The 21785-nt window shown below is 43.6% G+C and overlaps 1 protein-coding gene across 2 annotated transcripts in view, besides 1 other annotated feature; it reads left to right on the forward strand.

Annotated features, from left to right (window-relative positions):
• GABRG3 (gamma-aminobutyric acid type A receptor subunit gamma3) overlaps window positions 1-21785 on the forward strand; it is a 570804-nt gene that overhangs the window by 246741 nt on the left and 302278 nt on the right. The window lies entirely within an intron of this gene.
• Window positions 8493-8993: an enhancer, noted in NCBI's record as "H3K4me1 hESC enhancer chr15:27471561-27472061 (GRCh37/hg19 assembly coordinates)". NCBI's record gives its function as "activates a minimal SCP1, AML or CMV promoter by ChIP-STARR-seq in primed H9 embryonic stem cells {active_cell/tissue: H9 hESC(primed)}" and the evidence as "EXISTENCE:reporter gene assay evidence [ECO:0000049][PMID:30033119]".

The following is a 21785-nucleotide window of genomic DNA, read 5'->3' on the forward strand; positions in this document are numbered from 1 at the left end:
CAAACCAGCCGCAGGGACAGAGTAGGGAGGCGGAGGAGAACCAGGGCCAGTCTGTCGCCTTCAGAGGTGACCTGAATTTGGGAACCTCCCCACTTCTCCGAACTGCAGGGGAGCTTCCCGCGCTGTCTCCCAGGCTGGAGTGCAACTCTGCGATTACAGCTCGCTGTAGCCTCCACCCTCCAGCCTCAAGTGATCCTCCCACCTCCGCCTCCCAAGCAGCTGGGACTACCTACAGATGTGTGCTACCATGCCTGCCTAATTTTTTTTTAATGTTTAATATTTGTTAAAGATGAGGTCTCACCATGTTGCCCAGGCTGTCCAGCCTCAGCCTCCCAAAGTGTTAAGAGTCACAGGTGTGACAAAAGCACCCAGCCCTGTTGTCAACGTTCTGTCTTATTCGTGGCAGGAAACTCCCTTAAGAGGGGTTTTATGGCAATCCTCATTTCTCAGAATTTTATGCTCTTATTCAGAAAAGGGGAATTCTGAGAAGGCATCTTTCTGCACTTGTTGATTCTCAATGACCTTTTGCTCAAAATAATCCACATCCCAAAGTGACATATTTTGGGGTGATGTCTTCTGAACCCCTTTACTCAGCAGTGATGGAGGCTTATGTCCCAGGGCTGCTGCTGCTTGTGTTTCCGTTGCTCAGCGTCTCCACTCGGTTCCCATCTGTCTGACTCAGTTGAGTGTGGTGTCCTGGCTGGATGCCTCCTGTCCCTGCTGAGGCCGAGCTCTGAGAGTGATTCTCACATCTCATTCCTACCCTCAATGCAAATCTTATGTGCTGGGTTTTTCATATAAGGAAATGAGGTTTAGCATAGTGCTCGGGAGTCAGATGTCATTGATTTTGAACCGCTGCGACTGATGGTAATGGGTGGTGACCGTGGCCAGGTCACCTTCCAGAGGAGTCTGCCTTTCCTCACCCCACAGTATGATAAAGGCTCTGCATCCATTCACATTCACACACGGAGAGGAAGTTAGCTTCCATTATTGTGAATCACAGAGTAATGAGGAAATGAACAAATGGATGCAAATCCCCCTGGTCTCCTCTCTCCCTGATGACCCTGGCCATACCGGGGTCTGGGAGGGCAAGCATTCTCTCCACCAATCTCCCAATGGAACCACGCGTGCTCTGACCTGGCCTTCTCCTCTGGCTACAGCCCCAAGTCCTAGCTTCTTCCCCTGAGACCCCAGAGTCTTTGATATGCTATCTCTTGGCTAGTTATCATTCTCTCTCGCAGATTTCAAGTCCCAAGGGGACCCTGTGCCATATTATTTTCTATTTCTATTGCTCTACACTGTGGAGAAGCCAGTATTTTCATGTGTGCAGTGCTCTTGGCCTCAGGGCGGGCTGGCCTTGGGGCGGGCTGGGTTTTAGTTTGGGACCATTGTTTGTGCTCCTCCAAGGTAGGCAGAGTCCAATTTGGGCTCAATCCCTCCCTTACTCTGAGTCAGATAAGGTCTGGGCAAGATAACCTCCATTCCCTTTATGGTTTTTAAGTTGTGGAACTGAGTGAGACACATTCTGTGGGTCTGCCTCTTTCCACCCCACAGTCCAGCTCCTGCACCTGTGATGGGGCAGCTCAGGGTGGGCAGGACGAGGACAGTGGTCATGTCCATGGATCCTGTGGCCCTGGATGCAGCATCCCACCCCTCTGTCCACACCCTCCTTAGTCCTCCCCACCTGTGCCCAGCACCTCTGTGCCCACCAGGCAGACAGCGCCCAACCTCCCAGCTGCAGCCCCCAGACTCTTGCTGGCTGGCCACTGTTGGGTGTGCCTAACGGGGAGTGCCACCAGGGACTGGAGCATCAGTGGTTACAGAGTCCAGAAAACTGAATGCCTGTTCCCTCCTCGCCTTGCCTATAAAACATCTGCCTACAATTAGTATGATTTACTTAACACATGTTTTCAGAAATGCATTAATTAGATCAGTGTCTGTATTTGCAGGGACTTGTGCAACTGTTTTTCATAAGAACGACTCCTTATTCTTCACCAGCAATAGAGGAGGGTGGTCATTTTACTAGTTAGTAGGGGATGCTTCTTCTTGTCACCAAACTGAACTTGGGTCGGCTCACCCAGCATGCAGACAAGACCAAATACTGTCACTGGGATTCGCAGCAAGAGAGAGGCATTTATCACAGGGCACCCAACAAGGAGGATGGGCAGCTCACACCTAACCTGACCTTCTTGATGGCTTACAGGCAAGAGTTTTTAAAGGCAGGGTACATTTCAGGAAAGCAGAAGTTACAGGCAAAATTTTATATCAACACATGGAGGTTGTACATTGGTTTGGCCTAAAAAGGTGGGATATCTTGAAGTGGGAGTTTATAGGTCATAGATAGATTGAGATTCTTTTATTTATAGTTGGTTAAGGAACCAAAGCTTTGTCTAAAAGATTTGAGGTGAGCAGAAAGGAATGTTAAGGGCTGACCTTAACATATGGTAGTTAGGATAAGGAACCCTGGTGATTGTCATGTGGTGTTATACCAGAGTCAGGTCACCAGGGTAAGCCACAGTATGCGGGGCCAGATTAGCAAGAGTGATGGCCTGTAGACGTGACCTTCTTTAGGCTCCTCAGGAAGAAATTTAGAACAAAGAACGTGGTCAGAATTCAGTCCCGTTTCCCCCTTATCTGAGGACTGTGTGATGTGACAGCAGTGGGCATTTTCCATCTGGTAGGGGCCTGGGTTTCTGAAAAACAACTCAAGAACATATGCTAAGATGTTCTATAGAGTCCCTAGAACATCTGCAACTCTAACCTGTTTGGAGACTGTTGCTTAAGTTCCTACTGTCTTCTTGCCTATTGGGTTGCCCATTTATTTCTCTGGGGTCACTGGGTGCCTGGAATTTCCCTGGAAGGGACTCAGAACTTGAGGATTCAAGATTTTTCCTTTATTTCCATGCCGAGGGTGGGGTGGCAGGGCCCTAAGGGGGATCTCTGCCCTGTTTCATCATCTTCATTAGCTGTAATCAGTAATCGCAGATCAAGTATTCAGTTCGATCTTCAGAATGGACAATAATGCAAAGCATTATTCAACCTTTCCATTGGATGAACCTGGAATTGCTTCTTTTTTTTTTCTTTTTTCTGCCTTTTATTCAATAAATATTATGATGTCCTTAATAAACAAGATTCAGGGAGGAAATTGCTCAAGCTTATAGGATTAATTAAGGGGAGTCAGAACATGCTCTAACTAGATGGGGCATTTTACAAAACAGATGATTAAAATCTTATGAGACGTTTGAGAGAGATCGACCTGTTCAGAGAGACAGAAGCATGATGCTTCTCCTTTCTTCAGTGACCTTTTTTGTAGACATTTGCTATGCTCCTTGATGGACAGTGTGCTGATCTGGTAGAGCAAGGTTTTATTCTCTTGCCATCTGCTTGCAAAAGAGTGAGAAGACCAGCCAGTTCCCCATGCGTTATTAGTTTATGTTACTGTACTTTCTAACTTTAAATCACAAAGCATATTGATAACCACATGATTTGAAAAAGAGTTGAGGAAATTAGAAAACAAAAACAATCAACAACCACAAACTAAACTAAGGTAGACTGCATGGGTGCTAATTTTTAGTTTGAAAATACACAGAAAATTAGCCTGTTTAAAGTGATGCCATTCTCAAGGTGGTCTCTCAGAGAGACCCGGAGAGTCCCTTGGGGTACAAAGGCTGGGGGGCTCCCATGGCTTACCTATCAAACATTTGATCTAAATCATATTTCCAGTTGTCTCTGTGAATTTTGTCTTGTTACAACCAAGTAGCTGTTTTCTAGAATGTCTAAATGGCCCTTAATAATTTCTCCTGTATTTGTCTGGATCAACGTAGCCTGTTTTAGTTTCATAAAACATTTCTTTCCTGTGTTTCTCAAGAACTCAAAATTTAAGGTCAACAAAATGACCTTGCTCATCCAGATGGCAAATAAAGATGATGAAGATGCTGTTTTCTATCTATATTTTTTTGGTAAAGCCATGCACTAGGAGTTTGTATGATTGTCCCCAAATGGGCTACATGATTGAAATCCATTTAGTTTGAGGATAGCAGGTGCTTTTGGTTTTCCTGAGCTGAAGTTCTACATTATTTTTAAAAATCTTTAATATATTCTTTCTGCCTTTCAAAAGGCAAATTTTCCTCAATCCCATTATCTCTTCCCTCCTCATTTTCTTCCTGGAGAACCTTAGTCCCTTAAATCTCTAGCACGTTCTTCCACAGAAGATGCCCCAAATGGCTCTCTGCTTTGTGAGTGCTACACCTGGGTGGAATCACCCCTCTCCTCTTTCACAGTTGAGAGTCAGCAGCTAGAGACGTCCCAGCCAGCTGCGCAGGCTTGAATGCTGGCTTCATCATTTACTGGCAATGCCATCTAAGGCAGCAGTGCACCCACATGCAAAATGGGGGAACAGAAGAAGTTGTTTTACAGAGATCCAAAGTGCTTAGAAGAGTACCTGAGAGATACTTAATACCAAATAAGTATTACCTATAATTACTATTAATATGATTCCTCTTGGACCTTGGACTTCATGCTGGAACTTTCTGCAAAAGATCCACAAGCAAACTCCTTATTTTCTAAAGTGAATTAGTAGAGGACATGGACTTTGGATTCCAAGTACTTTGATTCGGGTACTTGAGTCATGGGTGCATATTGCAGGAACTTAGTCACTTAGTCTCTCAGTGTAAACAATGACCTAAGAACTAGAAATGGCAAAGGACAGAATGCACAACCCCAAGAGAGGAGCTCTGTGCCCATGAGTGTGATTAAGACCTTAAGAAGTCTTGGAGTGGATTCTTACATTAATTAGATGCTCTACATGACTCATTACAAACCAGATATCATGGTCCTCTGATTCCAGCCATGGCGACTGCAGTGTTCCCGGGAGACCACTGGCTGCTGTCCAGTGAGTGCACTCTCCTGGGAATGGTTCCCCACGGCCCTGGAACACACAGAGTGGCCATGCCTTAATTCTCCACACAGTCTCACTTCAGAATCCTGGCCATACTTGGACATCCAGAGGCCAGAGTGGAATGAAAACAATCAACTTTCAAGCATAAGAGATTCTCCCACTTCTTCCTTTGTTCACAAGTTTTGTTGATTCTTATTTACTTTTCTGAGGATAGATATGGTATAATCCAAAGTCATGATTCATTCATTTTAAAAGGATGAAAAGTGAGGCTGTGAATAATTTAAAGATGCAACATCCATTTGTATCTTTATAGCATTTCATTTTAATCCAATATTAATGTGGGTCAGCCCTGATGAAATTCTCTTATCAGCAACTGTAGTATTTTGTTTATTGTGTCAAAATCTGAGAGCAGTTAATAATTAGAATATATTTTTTCTACTGAAATAATAGAAATGTTACCAAAAGGCCAGGGACTCTGTCTAGGTCCCTTGCATGCTGCACAGAAAGCCAATCGCTGAGACAAGTATTGCCAGGGAGGAGGAGCCTGGATACGGCAATCTGATGAGTTTCAGTTCTTTGCTGGAGGGTGGATTTCCTGAGGAAGGAACTCAGATGAGACAAATGTAAGCTTCAAGTTTTAAGACCAGAGGGTCAATTTCTATGTTTACTTAAAAACTCATAAATATTTATGTGGGACACTTGGGCCAGCTTCAGAAAGGCATTACAAAAAAAATGGAATATGAAGAAAATAATATTTAAAAGATTCACAATCTTACTACTGTAACACAGCCACTTCTCACATTTCTGTAGGGTTTGCAAAAATGTTTAAAATACTAGATGTGCAGATAATGATGCTGGACAGACGGATGGGTATGGAAAGGTGTCTAGTACCTTGTCCCCCGTGCCACACTTCACACTCACTGTGCTCTTGCCTCCCCTGCTGGGCAACACTCAGGTGAACCCAGTGAGTGCTGCCCCTGACCCTCCTGACCCACGTCCTCATTGCAGGCACACTGATTGCCCCCCTTTTTGTGTTACAGAACACTTGCCTCTACCATCTCTTCTGTATTTTGGATCATTTCTTTGAGATAAATTTCAGAACCTGTCTGGGTGTAAGGTGTGCTGTTCCTTAACACTGTATGTCTGCCTTCCCTTTAGTCCCTTTCTCCCACTGGAGCTGGAGAGGGGAAGATGCAGGTGAGAAGCCTGGCACCTGGGTGGGGTACCCAGAGCGTGTGGACTGAGCTCCGAGGAAGTACCAGGTGATGTACGTGGAAGCCGTGGACTGAGCTCCCAGTGGCCTCCAACTTCCCGGGCTGCTCCCTGCATGGCGGTGAGGGCCTTGCTGAGGCCAGGGGTTTGGGGGTGCCGCATGTTTTCATCCCCGGTGCTTTCCGTGTGTGCCAGCACCTAAGAAGTAAAACATTTTTCAAAGGAAAAGATCATGTTTTCACCAAGCTGCTAAATTTAAATCTGGATTTTAGTTTCCCTAAGTGCAGAACCGTTTTCTTAGAAGGCCTGAAATGCTGAGTAGTGTTAGCCAGCCTTACCAGCTGCATAGGAAGTGGTTCTTTGAGAACCTAAATAATGTCTAATGCTACCTGACCCTCACAGCTACCCAGGAAGCAGGTCCTCACCTGGGCCTGCCCTTTCTCCCACCTGCACTGGCAGTGCTGGCTGATGGGGTAGCCTCCAGTTGTCTGTGTTAAAGCCCAGGGTGATGTCATGCAAGGCATCCTCTCTGTGCCTCAGTTTCCTCACCTGAATGCGAGTGGACTGGATTTCAACAGGTTCTTCTTGCAATGCTTTTCACTGTCCTAGCAAGGAATTGCCACAGTCACGACTTATGATGAGAATGTATTTGATCTCTCAGGTATTTAAGATGGAAAGGTTAAGAAGTAACAGATTTGATTATTTTCACATCCCTGCAATGAAACTTTCTTGCATGCTGTGCATATAGGATAACGTTAGTGTATTCCATCTATCATTCTGGCAGTGCTATTTGTGAGCTTAATGGAGCTCCTCTTTCATTCACAAGGCTAAGCATTTCATAGCCATTTCTGTAGGAAGCATTATTTAATGGGACCCTAGGTTTCCTTCCAGGAGGGGAGCTGAACATGGTCACTCAGTTGCTAGGAATGGTGGATGCCTCTGGTGCCACCCACCGCCTGGGGTGAGGAGAGTCTTCACCCTCCTTGGAAGCTCCCACCTCATTCTGTTGCTCTGACAAAGACTAGAGTTCCTTCTTCCTTCCTCCAGGGTGTGGTCATCACATTTATTTGGTGATTAATCATCAAATGATTTGTTCTTCCTAACTGAAGTATCTTAATTCTGTTGACTGACTTAAAATAATCACAATGTAGTACACAGGCTTTTATAATTTTAATTGAAAACAACAGATATACCTGAAAGCTGTCTTCCCTTGTCCTTCCCATGACAGTGCCCATAAACTAAAGCACAGTTGCCTTCGCTTCCCAGACACCGCCCTGCAGGTAGCAGAACTGGAGCCGCCACCTCCCCGCCCCCCTCCACGTGGAGGCAGGCAGGTAGCAGAATCGGAGCCGGTGCTTAGGGTGGACTGCCAATTGTTTAGTCTGAAGATTTTACTTACAAGGGTGGGCTGCCGATTGTTTAGTCTGACGATTTTACTTATAAAGTCGGAGTAAGTTTACCTGTAGATCAAGATTTATGATGTTTTTCATTCCTGTCTGAAGAAGAATCTAAGGGAGAAATGCTGGGCATTTGGGTTGTTCATTCCCTCTATGCTTCCCACCTGCCTTCCACCCAGAGGGATGAAGAGGCAAGCATGGAATCCTGCTTCCCTACCCACCACCAGGCTATTGAGGGCATGGCCCAGGAATGGTGTGAGGGACTTTGTAGCCTGTCTAGTAAAATGCATCTAAAGTTGGCAGCTGCCCTCTAACAGGTGCCCTCCACCTGCCCTGGTCTTCGAGAAGTCCTCCATCAGAATAGGGTGCTGAGAGAGCTGGTGCCCACAGGAAGTGCATGTGGGCTGCTGCAGATGGAGAGGGAGCCCTAAGAACAGACTCCACATGGCCGGAGCTTCCAGGGGAGGAGGAGGAGCCCAGATGAGAGACCCAGAGCCTGTGACTAAGATGATTGGCAGATTAGGGGCTCCCTTTGGAAATGATGACCACTTTTTGCATTTATTTCTCTGGATGTGTCTTGCAGGCAGGCACAGGCACAGAAATGGCAACATGGATGCTTTTGGTGCTGGGATGTCCCAGGCAGGCGTGAGTTGATGCAAATAGGCAAGAGGTTGAGGCCAGGGCAGAGAGGGGCTGAAAGTCAGTAGGGCCCTGAGCTGGCAGAGGGGTGAGAATAGAGCGCCCAGGGATGAGGACCTGGCACTCCTGGGTATGGATGCACAGGCACCCTGGTGATGCCCTCAGGTGACTGTCAGGGCACAGGTCCATACCTCTCACTGCAGCATCCAGGAACTCAAGGGACAGGCTCGGGTGCTGCTGACATGGACAATGTGCTCTCAGGGACTGAGCGTGGTCAGGGAGGATGACATGAGCTTTGTACTCCCGGTGAGCTTGGTCCAGGTCAAAGCAAATCGCGGCCACTAAGTGGAGGGGGTGGGACCGCAGTGTCCTCACCCAGCTTCAGAGACGACGTGGCCCATGCTGATGCAGGACACTGGCTGGGCCCCAGGCAAGCTGGCCAAAGTGATGTGTGGAGAGGAGAACCCTGCACAGCTCCTGCTCCCGGCCTGAGCCACCACTCAGTGGTGACTTGTGGGCTGCCATCCGGATGCCCCGGGCTTCAGAGGAGCCACCGGTGCTTCCCCCAGCAAACGGGCACTATGCGGGGCAGTTGGCTGCCATTTTCAGCCAGTGCATTCACCAGGTCTCTGGTTCCTGGAGTGACGGGCACATAACTCTCCTGACCAGCAGATCCCCCTCTGGCCCTGAGAGATGGGGACAGAGGAATGCTCCCCACTTCTTGGCAGGCACCTTGTCCCTTTGGCCATAGCCAGCATCTTATCTAGTACTCACTTTACTCTCTGGAACAAATGAGGCCTAGAGGGACTTGGCCTAGGATACGTTGTCCCTCACTTTCAGAAAAGAAACAAAAAGCCAGGCCTCTGCCTCCTAAAGCAGTACTATTTATCCCCAAAGAACATTTTATTCTCCTTTAATAAAACGTTGATATCAGGGAAAAAAAACTGAAAGAAAAAGGAAAGTAAACCATGTTTCACATGAGGTGCATAAACAGCCAGCCGCCTGTAAGGTGAGGTCTCTAAGTGTCCTTCAGGCTTAACTTGCATAGAATGTTGTTGATTTAACACTAAGGTATCAAGTTCATTAACAGAAATTAGAACATGTAGTAATTACACAATTAATTAAGAAATAAAAACAGGCCAGGCTTCGTAGCTCATGCCTGTAATCCCAGGGCTTTGGGAGGCCAAGGTAGGAGGATCACTTGAACCCAGGATTTCAGTTTGAGACAAGTCTGGACAACATGGCGAAACCCTGTCTCCTCCAAAAACAGAAAAGTTACCTGGGCCTGGGCGTGGTGGTGTGCACCTGTAGTCCTTTGTTACTTGGGAGGCTGAGGGGGGAGGATCACCTGAGCCTTAGGACATTGAGGCTGCAGTGAGTCATGATAGTGCCAGTGCACTGCAGCCTGGTCAACAGAGTGAGATTCTGTCTCAAAAAAATAAAAAATGTAATAAAATATATATTTTTTAAATTATCTGGCCGTGGTGGCATGCACCTGTAGTCCTAGCTATTTGGAAGGCTGAGGCAGGAGGATTGCTTGAGCCCAGAAGTTCAAGACTCCAGTGAGCTGTGATTGCACCTGCAATCTAGTCTGGGTGACAGTGAGACTCTATTTCTAAAGAAAAAAAAAAGAAAACAACCATGGCAATTTTTTTTTATCTACAAAATTTAATTACTAGATTTTACCCATGGAAATAAGGAAATTTCAGGAAACCTTATTCCACCATAACTACTTTTGAAAAATAACAGATGCTAAGGCAATTATTTGAATATGCCAGCCTACCCAGCATGTTTTTCTTCATCATCTTGATACATCACATGAAACTGCTGGTTTTATTTTTGCTCATAATTAGGAACAAATATTTTTAATTGTCTTAGTGCATGTTTTAAAATTTTTAAATGCTCAAAAGGGTTAAATGAAGGATAATGCTTAGTGCCTGTGAAAACACACTAAATGTAAAATAAATAAAACATTTTAGCACCAATGAAATAATACATAATTTTGTTATTTTAATTTTTATTTTAGGTTTGGGGGTATATGTGAAGGTTTGTTACATAGATAAACACATGTCCTGGGGGTTTGTTGTACATATTAATACATCACCCAGGTATTAAGCTCAGTTCCCAATAGTTGTCTTTTCTGCTCCTCTTCCTCCTGCCTTAAGCAGACCCCAGTATCTGTTGTTTCCTTCTTCATGTTCGTGAGTTCTCATCATTTAGCTCCCACTTATAAATGAGAACATACGGTATCTGGTTTTCTGTTCCTGTGCTAGTTTGCTAAGAGTGGTAGCCTCCAGCTCCATGCATGTTCCCGCAAAAGACATGTTCTCATTCTTTTTTATGGCTGCATAGTATTACATAGTATATATGTACCACATTCTCTGTATCCAGTCTACCGTTGATGGGCATTTAGGTTGATTTCATGTCTTTGCTATTGTGAACAGCGCTGCAATGAACATGCACATGCATGTGTCTTTATGGTGGAATGATTTATATTCCTCTGGGTATATACCCAGTAATGGGATTGCTGCGTTGAATGGTCGTTCTGCTTTTAGCTCTTTGAGGAATCCCCCTATTGCTTTCCAGAATGGTTGAACTAATTTATGCTCCCACCAACAGTGTATAAGGGTTCCCTTTTCTCTGCAACCTTGCCAGTATCTGTCATTTTTCAACTTTTTACTGATAGCCATTCTTACTGCTGTGAGATGGTATCTCATTGTGGTTTTGATTTGCGTTTGTCTAATAATCAGTGATGATGAGCTTTTCTTCATGTTTGTTTGCTGCATGTATGTCTTCTTTTGAGAAGTGTCTGTTCATGTCCTTTGCCCACTTTTTAATGGGGTTTTTTGTTTTTCTCTTGTAAATTTTATTAAGTTCCTTATAGATGGTAGATATTAGACCTTTGTCAGATGCATAGTTTGCAAATATTTTATTCTATTCTGTAGGTTGTCTGTTTAATCTGTTAATATTTCCTTTTGCCGTGCAGAAGCTCTTAAGTTTAATTAGATCCCACTTGTCAATTTTTGCCTTTGTTGCAATTGCTTTTGGTGTCTTTGTCACGAACTTTTTGCCCGTTCCTATGTCCAGGGTGGTATTGCCTAGGTTGTCTTCCAGGGTTGCTATAGTTTTGGGTTTTACATTTAAGTCTTCAATCCATCTTGAGTTGATTCTTGTATATGATATAAGGAAGGGAGTTCAGCTTCAATCTTCTGCATATGGCTAGCCAGTTATCTCAGTTATATCCCAGTTATATCATTTATTGCATAGGCAGTTTTCCCCATGGCTTGTTTTTTTCAGCTTTGTCAAAGATCAGATGCTATAGATGTGCAGCCAGCCTTATTTCTGGGCTCTCTATTCTGTTTCATTGGTCTGTGTGCCTAGGTTTTTTGTGTGTGTGTGTGTGTGTGTTGTTGTTTGTTTGTTTTTTGAGAAGGGGGTCTCACTCTGTCACTCAGGCTGGAGTGCAGTGGTGTGATCTCAGCTCACTGCAACTTCTACCTCCCGGGTTCAAGCAATTCTCCCACCTCAGCCTCCCGAGTAGATGGGATTACAGGGGTGCACCACCACGCCCGGCTAATTTTTGCATTTTTAGTAGAGACAGGGTTTCACCATGTTGGCCAGGCTGGTCTCTAACTCCTGACCTCAGGTGATCTGCCCGCCTCGGACCCCCAAAGTGCTGGGATTACAGGTCTGAGCCTCTGCGCCCAGCTATGTGCCTGTTTTTGTACCAGTACCATGCTGTTTTTGTCACTGTGGCCTTGTAGTATAGTTTCCAGCTTTGTTCTTTTTCCTTAGGATTGCCTCAGCTATTCAGGCTCTTTTTTTGGTTCCATATACATTTTAAAATATTTTTTTCTAGTTCTGTGAAGAATGTTGTTGTCAGTTTGGTAAGAATAGGCTTGAATCTGTAAATTTCTTTGGACAGTATGGACATTTTAATATTGATTCTTCCTATCCATGAGCATGGGAAGTTTTTCATTTGTTTGTGTCTTCTCTGATTTCTTTAAAAAGTGTTTTGTAGTTCTCATCGTAGAGATCTTTCACCTCCCTGGTTAGCTATATTCCTAGGTATTTTATTTAGTGTGTGTGTGGCAATTGTAAATGGGATTGCCTTTCTGATTTGACTCTCAGTTTGGTTGTAATAACATAAAATTCTGAACTTCATATAAATCGAACCAAACCTGTAGAATGATTCTGAGATGCACTATAATGGTAATCACCTGAACTTGATCTACAGCTCAAACTACCTGGTTTTTAAAAAAATAGTCAGTTTATTTCCACATATTTTGACTATTTTCTACCTGTCAGAATGTCACTATAGACGGCCGAGGAGGGGTATGGAAGACATACCCTTTATGTGCTCAGACCTCAGAGGGCACAATTAATTCATTGCTATTCTTACTTTCTGTATTAGATATTACTCCTGTTACTGTTATTTTTTAATTATAGATTTTTTTCCCTAGAAATATGTGTTCTATATGCAAAATGAAGCATAGGCTTTTATAATTTGTATATGTTTGTAAAGTTTGCATATGCTTTATTTTAAACCATTTGCTTATGGTTTGGGTGAATAGGTTTCCTCTGTTTCATTTCACCCTTTAAGAATGAAGAAAATAATTACCCCACCCTCTTTGGAATAGCTGCCATTTGAAAATGGGAAATGCTTCTATTGTGATCTACTTATTTATTTATTTTTACTTTTGGTATTAAGCCACCAAACGACTTAGCTCAGAAAAAAAAATTAAGTGTCTAAAAATAAATTTTACAAATTACAGCCCTGAGTTTACCATTCTGTTGTAGTGTGTCATTAAGAACTGGCTGCAAAGTACCATGCAGCAGGGTGAGGAGCAGCTAAAATCTGGGCTATTGTTTGGTCCTTTGAATAGTGAATGTAATTGTTAAACTATATTTTAAGTGGTTGAGCCAAGTTTAAAACAGTAAAATGTGTGTGTGTGTGTGTGTGTGTGTGTGTGTGTGTGTGTGATTTCTTCCTAATATTAAAGGAAATTCAAGAAAATAGAAAAATTTTAAAAACACTTATTCTATAGGAAATATCAAATATCCATATCTCAAACCTACGTTTTTAGGTACATACATACAAGTGCTACACTGGAGCTATTGTATCAATAAACCAAGAACTTATAAAGTTGCCTTTATATTTCAAAGTATTTTCCAAACATTTACATTTTCAAAAAATCCTCTAACAGTTCTATATGTTCAGTGCCATATGCTCAACATAATAATATAACTGTAGTTAAACTAATGATAACTAAGTCACAATAACATGGATGACTTTGCAGGCTGCTGGAGCAGCAAGGTTTTCTTTGCAGAACAAAGCTTGAAGCTTTGAAGCTCCTCTGATAAAAGTGTTGTGAGCGGGGTAGGGAGAAGAGGAGCAGGAGGCAGAAGAGGGCTTGGTCCATTCCAAGGAGATTTTAGACCTGAGGGAAGTCACCTGTCAATTTCTGAATGTCATTGGATTATCTGCTATAATTCATGAATGTGGGTTTGAAAACCCAACGTTAGTGACTCCCAGAAAATGTCTTTTGGAGATGAAAGGCAGGGGCTGGTCAAGGCTGACATCCTAGAAAATCCCTCATATCCTGGCTGTGGAATTGAAAATAGAGGATTTAACTTACTGTCATTTTCCTTTTTATTTATTCATTTGTTTGATATTGTAACACTTTTAGGTTTTGCTTGGTAGACAGAGAATATCTAAATAGTATTGATTTTTCCACAGTTATATGAAGGAAAGAATGGTCCAATTATCTAAACGTTGTGAAACATATTAAATTTTTTTAACTTAAAGATTTTTTCTACTTCATTGTCTGATCTAAACCATAGATGGAGAAACTGTAATGCTACTCTCATTTACCTGAGGTTCATAAGATTTTCTCATACAAAAATCCAATTTTCATCCAAGTAAATAATAAAGCTGACTGTACAATAAATCATATCATACCAGTGAAGACATCAATAGGCTCTCCCAGCTCTTCCAATTCTAGTAAAAATACTTTTTTAATATATGAAAATGATCGACAAGAAGCAGAATAATTTTAGATTAATTTTTTCAGGAAAAATGGAAACATTGACTTTTATTATAATGGAGTAAAATTCAATTTTATTGTAGGAAATTGTATGTCATAATTCAGTCTAACTTTGAGGTTAAAAATGGTGTTTAACCACCTGGAATATGAATTGAGGGCAGATTATAATAACTCAGTACAATAAAAGAGAATGAACATGACTCATATTGAATTCAGTAGATGCTTAAAGTAACCCACTCTGCACGCGTCTGGTTTGAACTGCAGTCAAGGTGAGTGTGGTGTGAGCAGCTGTCATCTTACCCGGGCGTCCACCTGGAGCCTCCTTCTTGCCTCGTTCCAGAACCCATGTCTCCATGAATAAAGTTAGCATGTGGCCAACTCACTGGATTGAATGTAGCCATCAGTTAGGACCAAGGAAGAGACCCGGGATACTTCAGTGCCTTGGGGTAAATTGGGGCAGCTGTTCTCCTGCCAGACCATGTTCTGAGTGCTGGGACTAGAGGCTTTTCCCTACAATTCTGCTTTTAATCATTCAGTCTTGACTTGGGGATAGGAGACAACAAGGCCTGGCTGAAAAAGGTGAGGCCGTTATTCTCCTTTTCTTGATGAATATGTTTGGAGCCAAAATACATTATGAATTCAAATAATTTTCTACTAATAAACATTTTTAGTGAAAAATGTTACCATTTATTAAACATTCCTTCTGAAATAAGATGAAATAGTCAGGCCCATGGTGGTTAAATTTGTTCCCGTGATCTCTTCTACTACCTGTCCAGAGGAAATGAGCTGGGAGAGCCACTTACCTCCTCATTCCCTCGGAGGCTGTGGTCAGGAGGGGCAGGACTGCCAGGAAGCACAGCCAGAAGCCGGTAGGCTGCTGTGGGCATCAGTCCAGCTGAATGGCACCCAGGCCCCAGGCACCTCCTCTTGTCCCTGGAGTGGAAGAGATGGGGGCTTGGGTTCTGGAGACCCCGATCACTTGTGTTGGAAGCTGCTCCCACCCAGAGGCTTGGTCATGTGAGAGCCTTGGCTCACTGGGGAGAGGGTGGGGAAGGCCTCCTGGAGGACAGGGGCTGTGTTTGTATTTTGCTTTGTGCCCACATACCTGTGTGTTAGGCTTCTATTTTAATTTCCAGTGGTTTTATTTCGTGGAACCTTTCTAGCGAGCGTGAAAACCTTTCTAGCGAGCATAAAAAAGTGGACAAGGGTGTCTGTCTTAGTCAGCTCAGGATGCTCTAACAGAATACCTTGTCCCTGGAGTGGAAGAGAATTCAGGATAGAGTGGGGGCTTGCAAGCAACAGACATTGACTTCTCACGGTTCTGGAGGCTGGAAGGCCAAGGTCAGTGGGCCAGTCTGGTTGGGTTCTTGGTGAGGCCCCTCCAGGTGTGCAGAAGGCCACCTTCTCCTTGTGTCCTCTCAGGATGCGGGCATCTCTCTTCCTCTCTTCATGAGGCACTAATCTCATCACGAAGGCTCCACCCTCATGACCTAATTTCCTCCCAGAGGCCCCACCTCATAAAGCCATCACCTTGGGGAGTCGACTTTCAACACACGAATTTTGGGAGGACACGAACATTTAGTAGATAGCAGTATATGTGACTAAGTGAACCCACTACATGAACATTTTTCTACAAAAGATACCAGACGCCTGTACAAACTACCAGGGAACCCAGATTAGGATACCAATAGAAAGTAGGGTTGAGAGTTCATCCTCATTCAGGTTTTGTATGTTTTCTATAAACAGGGAAGCTATTACACTTCATGTGAATTATGTATTCTATATCAGTTTTATATTTTATACCTAATTATGTGGGTCAAGTTATTTCAATTTACAATATGACATTTTTTCCCTCTACATTTTGTGAACCAAGCATCTCTAATTCAGACAATCACCTATGGGAGAGGGAGCTTTAGAGAGAAATATCCCCAAGACTTTCTTCCTTTTTTTCTGTTAGTCTAAGGAGATTAAAAAATAAGGAATAAAATTCTGTAATTATGTTGAAAAGGAAACCAAAAATCATTTAGAACCAACTACCTCTATTCTGTCTAATTCTATTCTGTCTAGTTCTGTGACATTTGGTTGCTGGATTCTTATTTTTTGGAAATAAAAACAAGCCTCCCACAGCCCACAGAAGCCAGTGCTGCAGACTCCCAGAGGAGGCTCCCTGGCCAGGACCATGATCCAGAGAGCAGACATGTAGCTTTGGGCCCTTCTCAGGAGCCCCATCTCAGCCCTGCTGTGTGTTTGACTGGTGATCTTTGGAGGTACATTTAGAGTCTCTGGGCCTCCGTCTTCTCATCTGTACAATGGAAATAACAATAACACTTCCTTGCTAAGGTTGCTGTGGTGCTTAGACATGTCAGCAGGTCCTGTAAGCTCAGCTCCCTGCCTGTCATGTAATAGGCAAGCTGTGTGATCTGCCTTTCTCCTCTTCTTTATCACACACATGAGGAGGGTACACATTCTCGGTTCTGGAGACCGCGGTGCTCTGAGCCACCTGCTCCTGGGTACTGGTGCTGGACTAATGTGCTCTGGGATGATCACCTTTTAGTTACTAAGTAGGTGTCTCTGTTACAGGATTTATTTGCTCAGCAGTGAAATCTTTATATTGAAGTGGCTTCTCTTATGGATGACTAAAGATTTTGACTCCTGTCCAGTGACCCTCTCTCATGAATGACGTAATAATTAGGAAGCAAAGGGATCTACTCCAAAGCAGGCCTGTGTTGTCAAGGACCTGCTGCCCAGATGGTGAGAGGGGCCACCTGGGCTCCTGCAGCAGCTGAGGTACCCAGCGTGAGGGAAAGGGGGTTGCTGTCAGGGTGGAGGGAGATGAATAAACAGTCCTCTGTGGTCTGGTCCACTCTCCAAATAGCCACAGTTCTGGCCTGTTGGCTGAGGGCGTGGGGGGCTGTTTTGATCCCCTTTCTACCCAAGTAATGAGAGAGAAATGCCTTAATACCCTTAAGGAATCTAGTTGTAACTCAAAGAGGCTCCTACTGGAATCTCCAGATGTCCTAGATTTTGTTTTGTCTTAAAAGCTTGTTAAAAAATGAAATTGTAATTTAAACTCTTTTCACATTTTTTGTAAGAAATAAAACATAATGTCCGCCAAACCAGAAAAAGGTGTAGTCAGTATACCTATCCCTGCACAGAAGATGGTTTGTTCACCTCTGAGAGACAGGAATTTAGAGGTCATAGGTCAACCTAGTTCACAGGTGAACCGCCACAGCCCAGCAAATCCTCAGGCTTTCTTAGATGGTCAGGGGAGATTGCCAGGGTTATCTCTCAGTGACTCCATCATTTGCTCCACATGGCTCACTGTGTTTGTGAGATTATGTACTTATCTTTACAAACCGTCGTTCAATTTAGACTTATTTCTTAAAACTGGCATGTGGAAAGCTGAGGTGTGGGTGGGAATTTTGCCTTCCTGGGGCTGGGTTTGGATCCCTAAAGAAGGAAACATAATTTTCTCCTCCATCCTTCATGAGTTCTTAGCTGGGACTGCCTGTAACCAAAGACAGATTAATAAGAGAAAACAAACAGAAGTTTATTGACACGTATGCCTCCTGTATACATGGGCAATAAACCAGAGAAATGAAAGCAGATCTCAAGGGTAGAGTTCAAAGAAATATCTTAGACTCCAGGCTCAAATGCCATTGTTCTCTGAAACAAAGAACATTGTAGAGGAAAAATCCAGTTAAGGTGGCTTGGGAAAGTGCTGGGAAAACGAGAAACAGATGCAGAGGTTTGCTCTGCAGACCTCTCCACTGATGAGTCTCTAGTGATTAAGATGATGAAAAGTCCTCCTCCTCTTCCTGCTGCAGAGACGGACACACCCTTACTAATGGTTTTTCTTGATAGAAGTAAAGTTCTCTACAAAAGATCACTTTGCAGAGCTTCTTCTGAGTCTGCAGTTGCTCAAAATAATCCTTATATGAGAGAGACATATTTTGGGGTAGCATATTCTGGTCTCCTAGTTATATATATTTTTGGCTGGTGTGTCCTGAGCCCCATCAGATCCATGGTACAGACCCAGAACACTTTTCTGTAAACCGTGTCCGGCGTACATGGAAGCATCTCAGGAGGAAGCCTGCTTATCCCTGTGGAGACTCTGATGTGCTCAGCGCTACATGAGTGAAGTCCCTCAGTCTCCCAGGGTCTACTTGCACAGCACTGGAGGGAGACTGAAGAGCAGAGCTGAGCTTCTGAGAAATAAGCATCAAATGCTAAGGTCCCCAGCCCACTGAATGGACCCCCTGACCCACTGTTGGCTGAGAGAAACCTTAGAAACTGAGTTCCCGGCCATGACAGGACAGGAGGTAGGACACGCCTCAGTGTACCCTTCCTCAGTAACCTTTCACCAGAATTCTCTCTAAGCAGGAAGCAGAAACCAGCTCTGGAAAACAAGAAATGAACAACTTATCCCTTTATCGCCCTTAGCCAGTCACCTGAGGCCAGGATCAGACTCCGCCTCCCTCTTTACAGCCTCAGCGTGACAGCCCACCAGTTTCACAATACACCTGTTCCTGATTAGAGACCACCAGCCACAGAGTGGCTCTGACCAGCCTAGGGAGGATGCACAGTGAGGGTTTCTTGTCCTCTGCTTCACCGTTTGACATCAGAGGGCCAAAAACTCTATCCTCGGATCATGCGAACACTGCCATTTTTTTAACATGGGTCCCATGAAGAGGCATGAAGCGCAATTGCACGTGTGTTTGTTTTATCAATATTCGTGATTCCTCCAATAGCTTATTGAATATACGTATCCATCCCCCCACTCAGCAGACATTCCTGCTCCCTTTACCCCTCCCTTGGAGGACTTGCTCTGGGCTTGTGCTGGAGGTTATGCTTCCCAGCCTGCAGGACGGCCACCCGTATGAAATAAAGCTCTCCTTTCCAAATGGATCGACCTTGCGATTCTTCAGTTGACACTCATTTGACGCACTCTGAATCATTCAGCCATTTCAAATTGATTTCATAACCTGTGCAAATGAAGAGAATTCAAGAGAACATGAAGCCTAGAATGGCTGTGAGGGTGAGAGCCTCCTTCAGACATATTTATCACTTCTCTGGAAGAGGAGATACAGAATGGGTTATTTAAATCCAGTGCTGACCCACGAGCAGAGTTTCAGGACACCAGTATGAGTGAAGACCTAGAACACAGAGGGACTTAAAGAGGTCAGATATGTAAGTATGGATTTTAAAAGAAACATGACCCAATTGTTCTGGAGTCATGCAAACTAGAACAGATGGGAAATCATCCTTCATGTTTTTCCAAGACTTTTGAAATGTGTCCAGTCCTGGGCTGCAGGATCAGGATGCTGAGCTGTGAAGAGGCTGAGCTGGACCTCACGCCAGCAGCCGGCAGTCGCCAACAGCCGGGCAGCAGGACCTTGACCTGCCCCGAGAGGAACAGAAAACAGCTCCATGGGTTCAAAAGACACACAGGGACAGGGATAAGTTAGGAAAGGTGACCACGGCTACAAGAAGCAAATGGTGTCACAGAATAAGTGCAAAGTAATGTATTAAACTGGATGTGATTTTCAAAAGAGAAGCAACAGTGCATGGTTTCAAATCAGCTTAATAAGTTACTTCCTGCCAGCTGCACCCACAACATAAAGCTTTGTTAGAATGTCTGGCTGTGGGAGGCACCTCTTCCCACCCAGCTTGTGTCCTTGCTCATTGGGACTTGGGATGCCACGGCCCATTCAACTGACTTTACAGCCAGGCAGGAAGCACCAAATTTATAGGGTCTCTATGAGGATTAAGTGGATAATATGTGTCTGTAAATTTAATTATATTTACACCTGTTATGCTTAGACTCTGCATGCCCTCTTGAACGCTGTAATACTGTTATTATGTCTGGGAAGAAGGAAAGAAGGAGAAGGTGAGAAGAAGAGTTAATTTAGACCTTGTTTCCATTCAGCGTTTGGAAGCTGAAGCGTTTAGTCGTTCATACTGGACCTGGTGTGATGGGATCATCTTGAGATTCTGTGTCTCGCAGACAGCAGCGGTGGCAGATTCTTGCTTCTTTTTTTCTTTCATTTCTGTTTCCTATCAGTTATGTGATAAATGAGACGTCAGGATGAGGAATGTATGCTTCCCTAGGAAGCAGTCACTGAACTTACAGTTGTTTGATGTGTTTAAGTGGATACAGTTGGGAGAGACAGTGTTGTCTGACCGTGGGCCCTAACGCCCACCGGCCAGAGGAGCAAACTTGCCCAGCAGCCTGCCTTGCCCCACGCCCAGCATCCACGGCTGCCTTAGCTGGAGGGAGCCGCGCGGGGGCGCAGTGCGTCATCACTGCAGCTATTTCACATTATTAGGGAGGCCACCGCGGGAGGCCCTGGAGGATATTGTGGAGTTACATAGATCTGGATGAGAATCTTATTAAATTATGTACTGTGTCCCTCCTTCTCTATTCTGTAACAGGAGGAAAATAAGAGGGAAAGGGATGGATGACAGCCCCCAAATTTCTATACAAACTTTGCCTAAGTTGTATAGACATGTCTTAGGTCTGTGTGTGACATGTAATTGACTAAATAATTATTACTTGTTAATTCTGCATATATTCCCGTTTTCTTTCTTGTTGCAAAGGAGTTGGATATTTTCGAACTTTTCAGTCACTTAAGAGTTTGTTTTCTATGACAAGGCAAAGTAAAGTTCCCTAGAGTTAGCAGTAACTTACATGAGTTTAATTTATCTGAATTTCCAAAGAACAGCCAACGTTGCTATTGTGCTGTACTAACCCAGGGTTAGGATTGCTTCAGATGCTTCCACATATGTCACGATTGTTAGTATCCCAACAAACAAAATAAACAAACAGAAACCAAAATTTGGCATGCGGAAGTGTCAACCTAAATAACAGAGCGAGTCTCTCTAAAAGAAAAGGCATTTATGTGGAATGAAGCATTACAATGGGAATACGCTTGCCATAGTAAACTAGGTGTGTGTTCAGGGAGGAAAAGGAGGACAAAGATTTTTAAAGGAAAAAAATGAGGAAGATTACATACTGATTTTGCAATAATCACTTTTGGATACGAAGATGAAGGAAAGGGTGACACCAGTCCGAGGTTTACACAGGCAGTTGCTTGGCAGATGTCCTTGAAGAAGTATTTTTTTGTCTAAAGCTGCAATGGCCTTTGTCCAAGGCTATGTTTTGTATGGAGTCTTTTTTTGTTATGAGGCATACAAGTGTGAGAACCCTCTCTTCGTGGCCTTCCCTTGCTCTGTTTGTCAAGGTTTTCTCAACATTAGTGATTCTATTTTGATTCTGACAATCACAGAAGAATATTCGCTAAATATTGATTCTTTCAAAGAAAGCATAAGCTCTTTAGTAGTAAAAGTCTTTATAAAGCTTAGGATTATCTTTGCATTTTCTAGCCTTGTACCTCTGAACATGTATATACTTTTAAACACAAAGATGTGCCTGAATTTGTTAGGCTAATTTTAAATATTTATTTTTCTAATATGAAATTTAGAGCATTGGTTTAAATAATAAACATCTATTAAGTGTTCATGAGATGCTTCAGAAATTATGTATGTTATTGATAAAAATTTTTCCCAAGTTGTATCAAGATGTATTTAGGT

Source organism: Homo sapiens, chromosome 15, assembly GCF_000001405.40.
Source record: "Homo sapiens chromosome 15, GRCh38.p14 Primary Assembly".
Taxonomy (NCBI): Eukaryota; Metazoa; Chordata; class Mammalia; order Primates; family Hominidae; genus Homo; species Homo sapiens.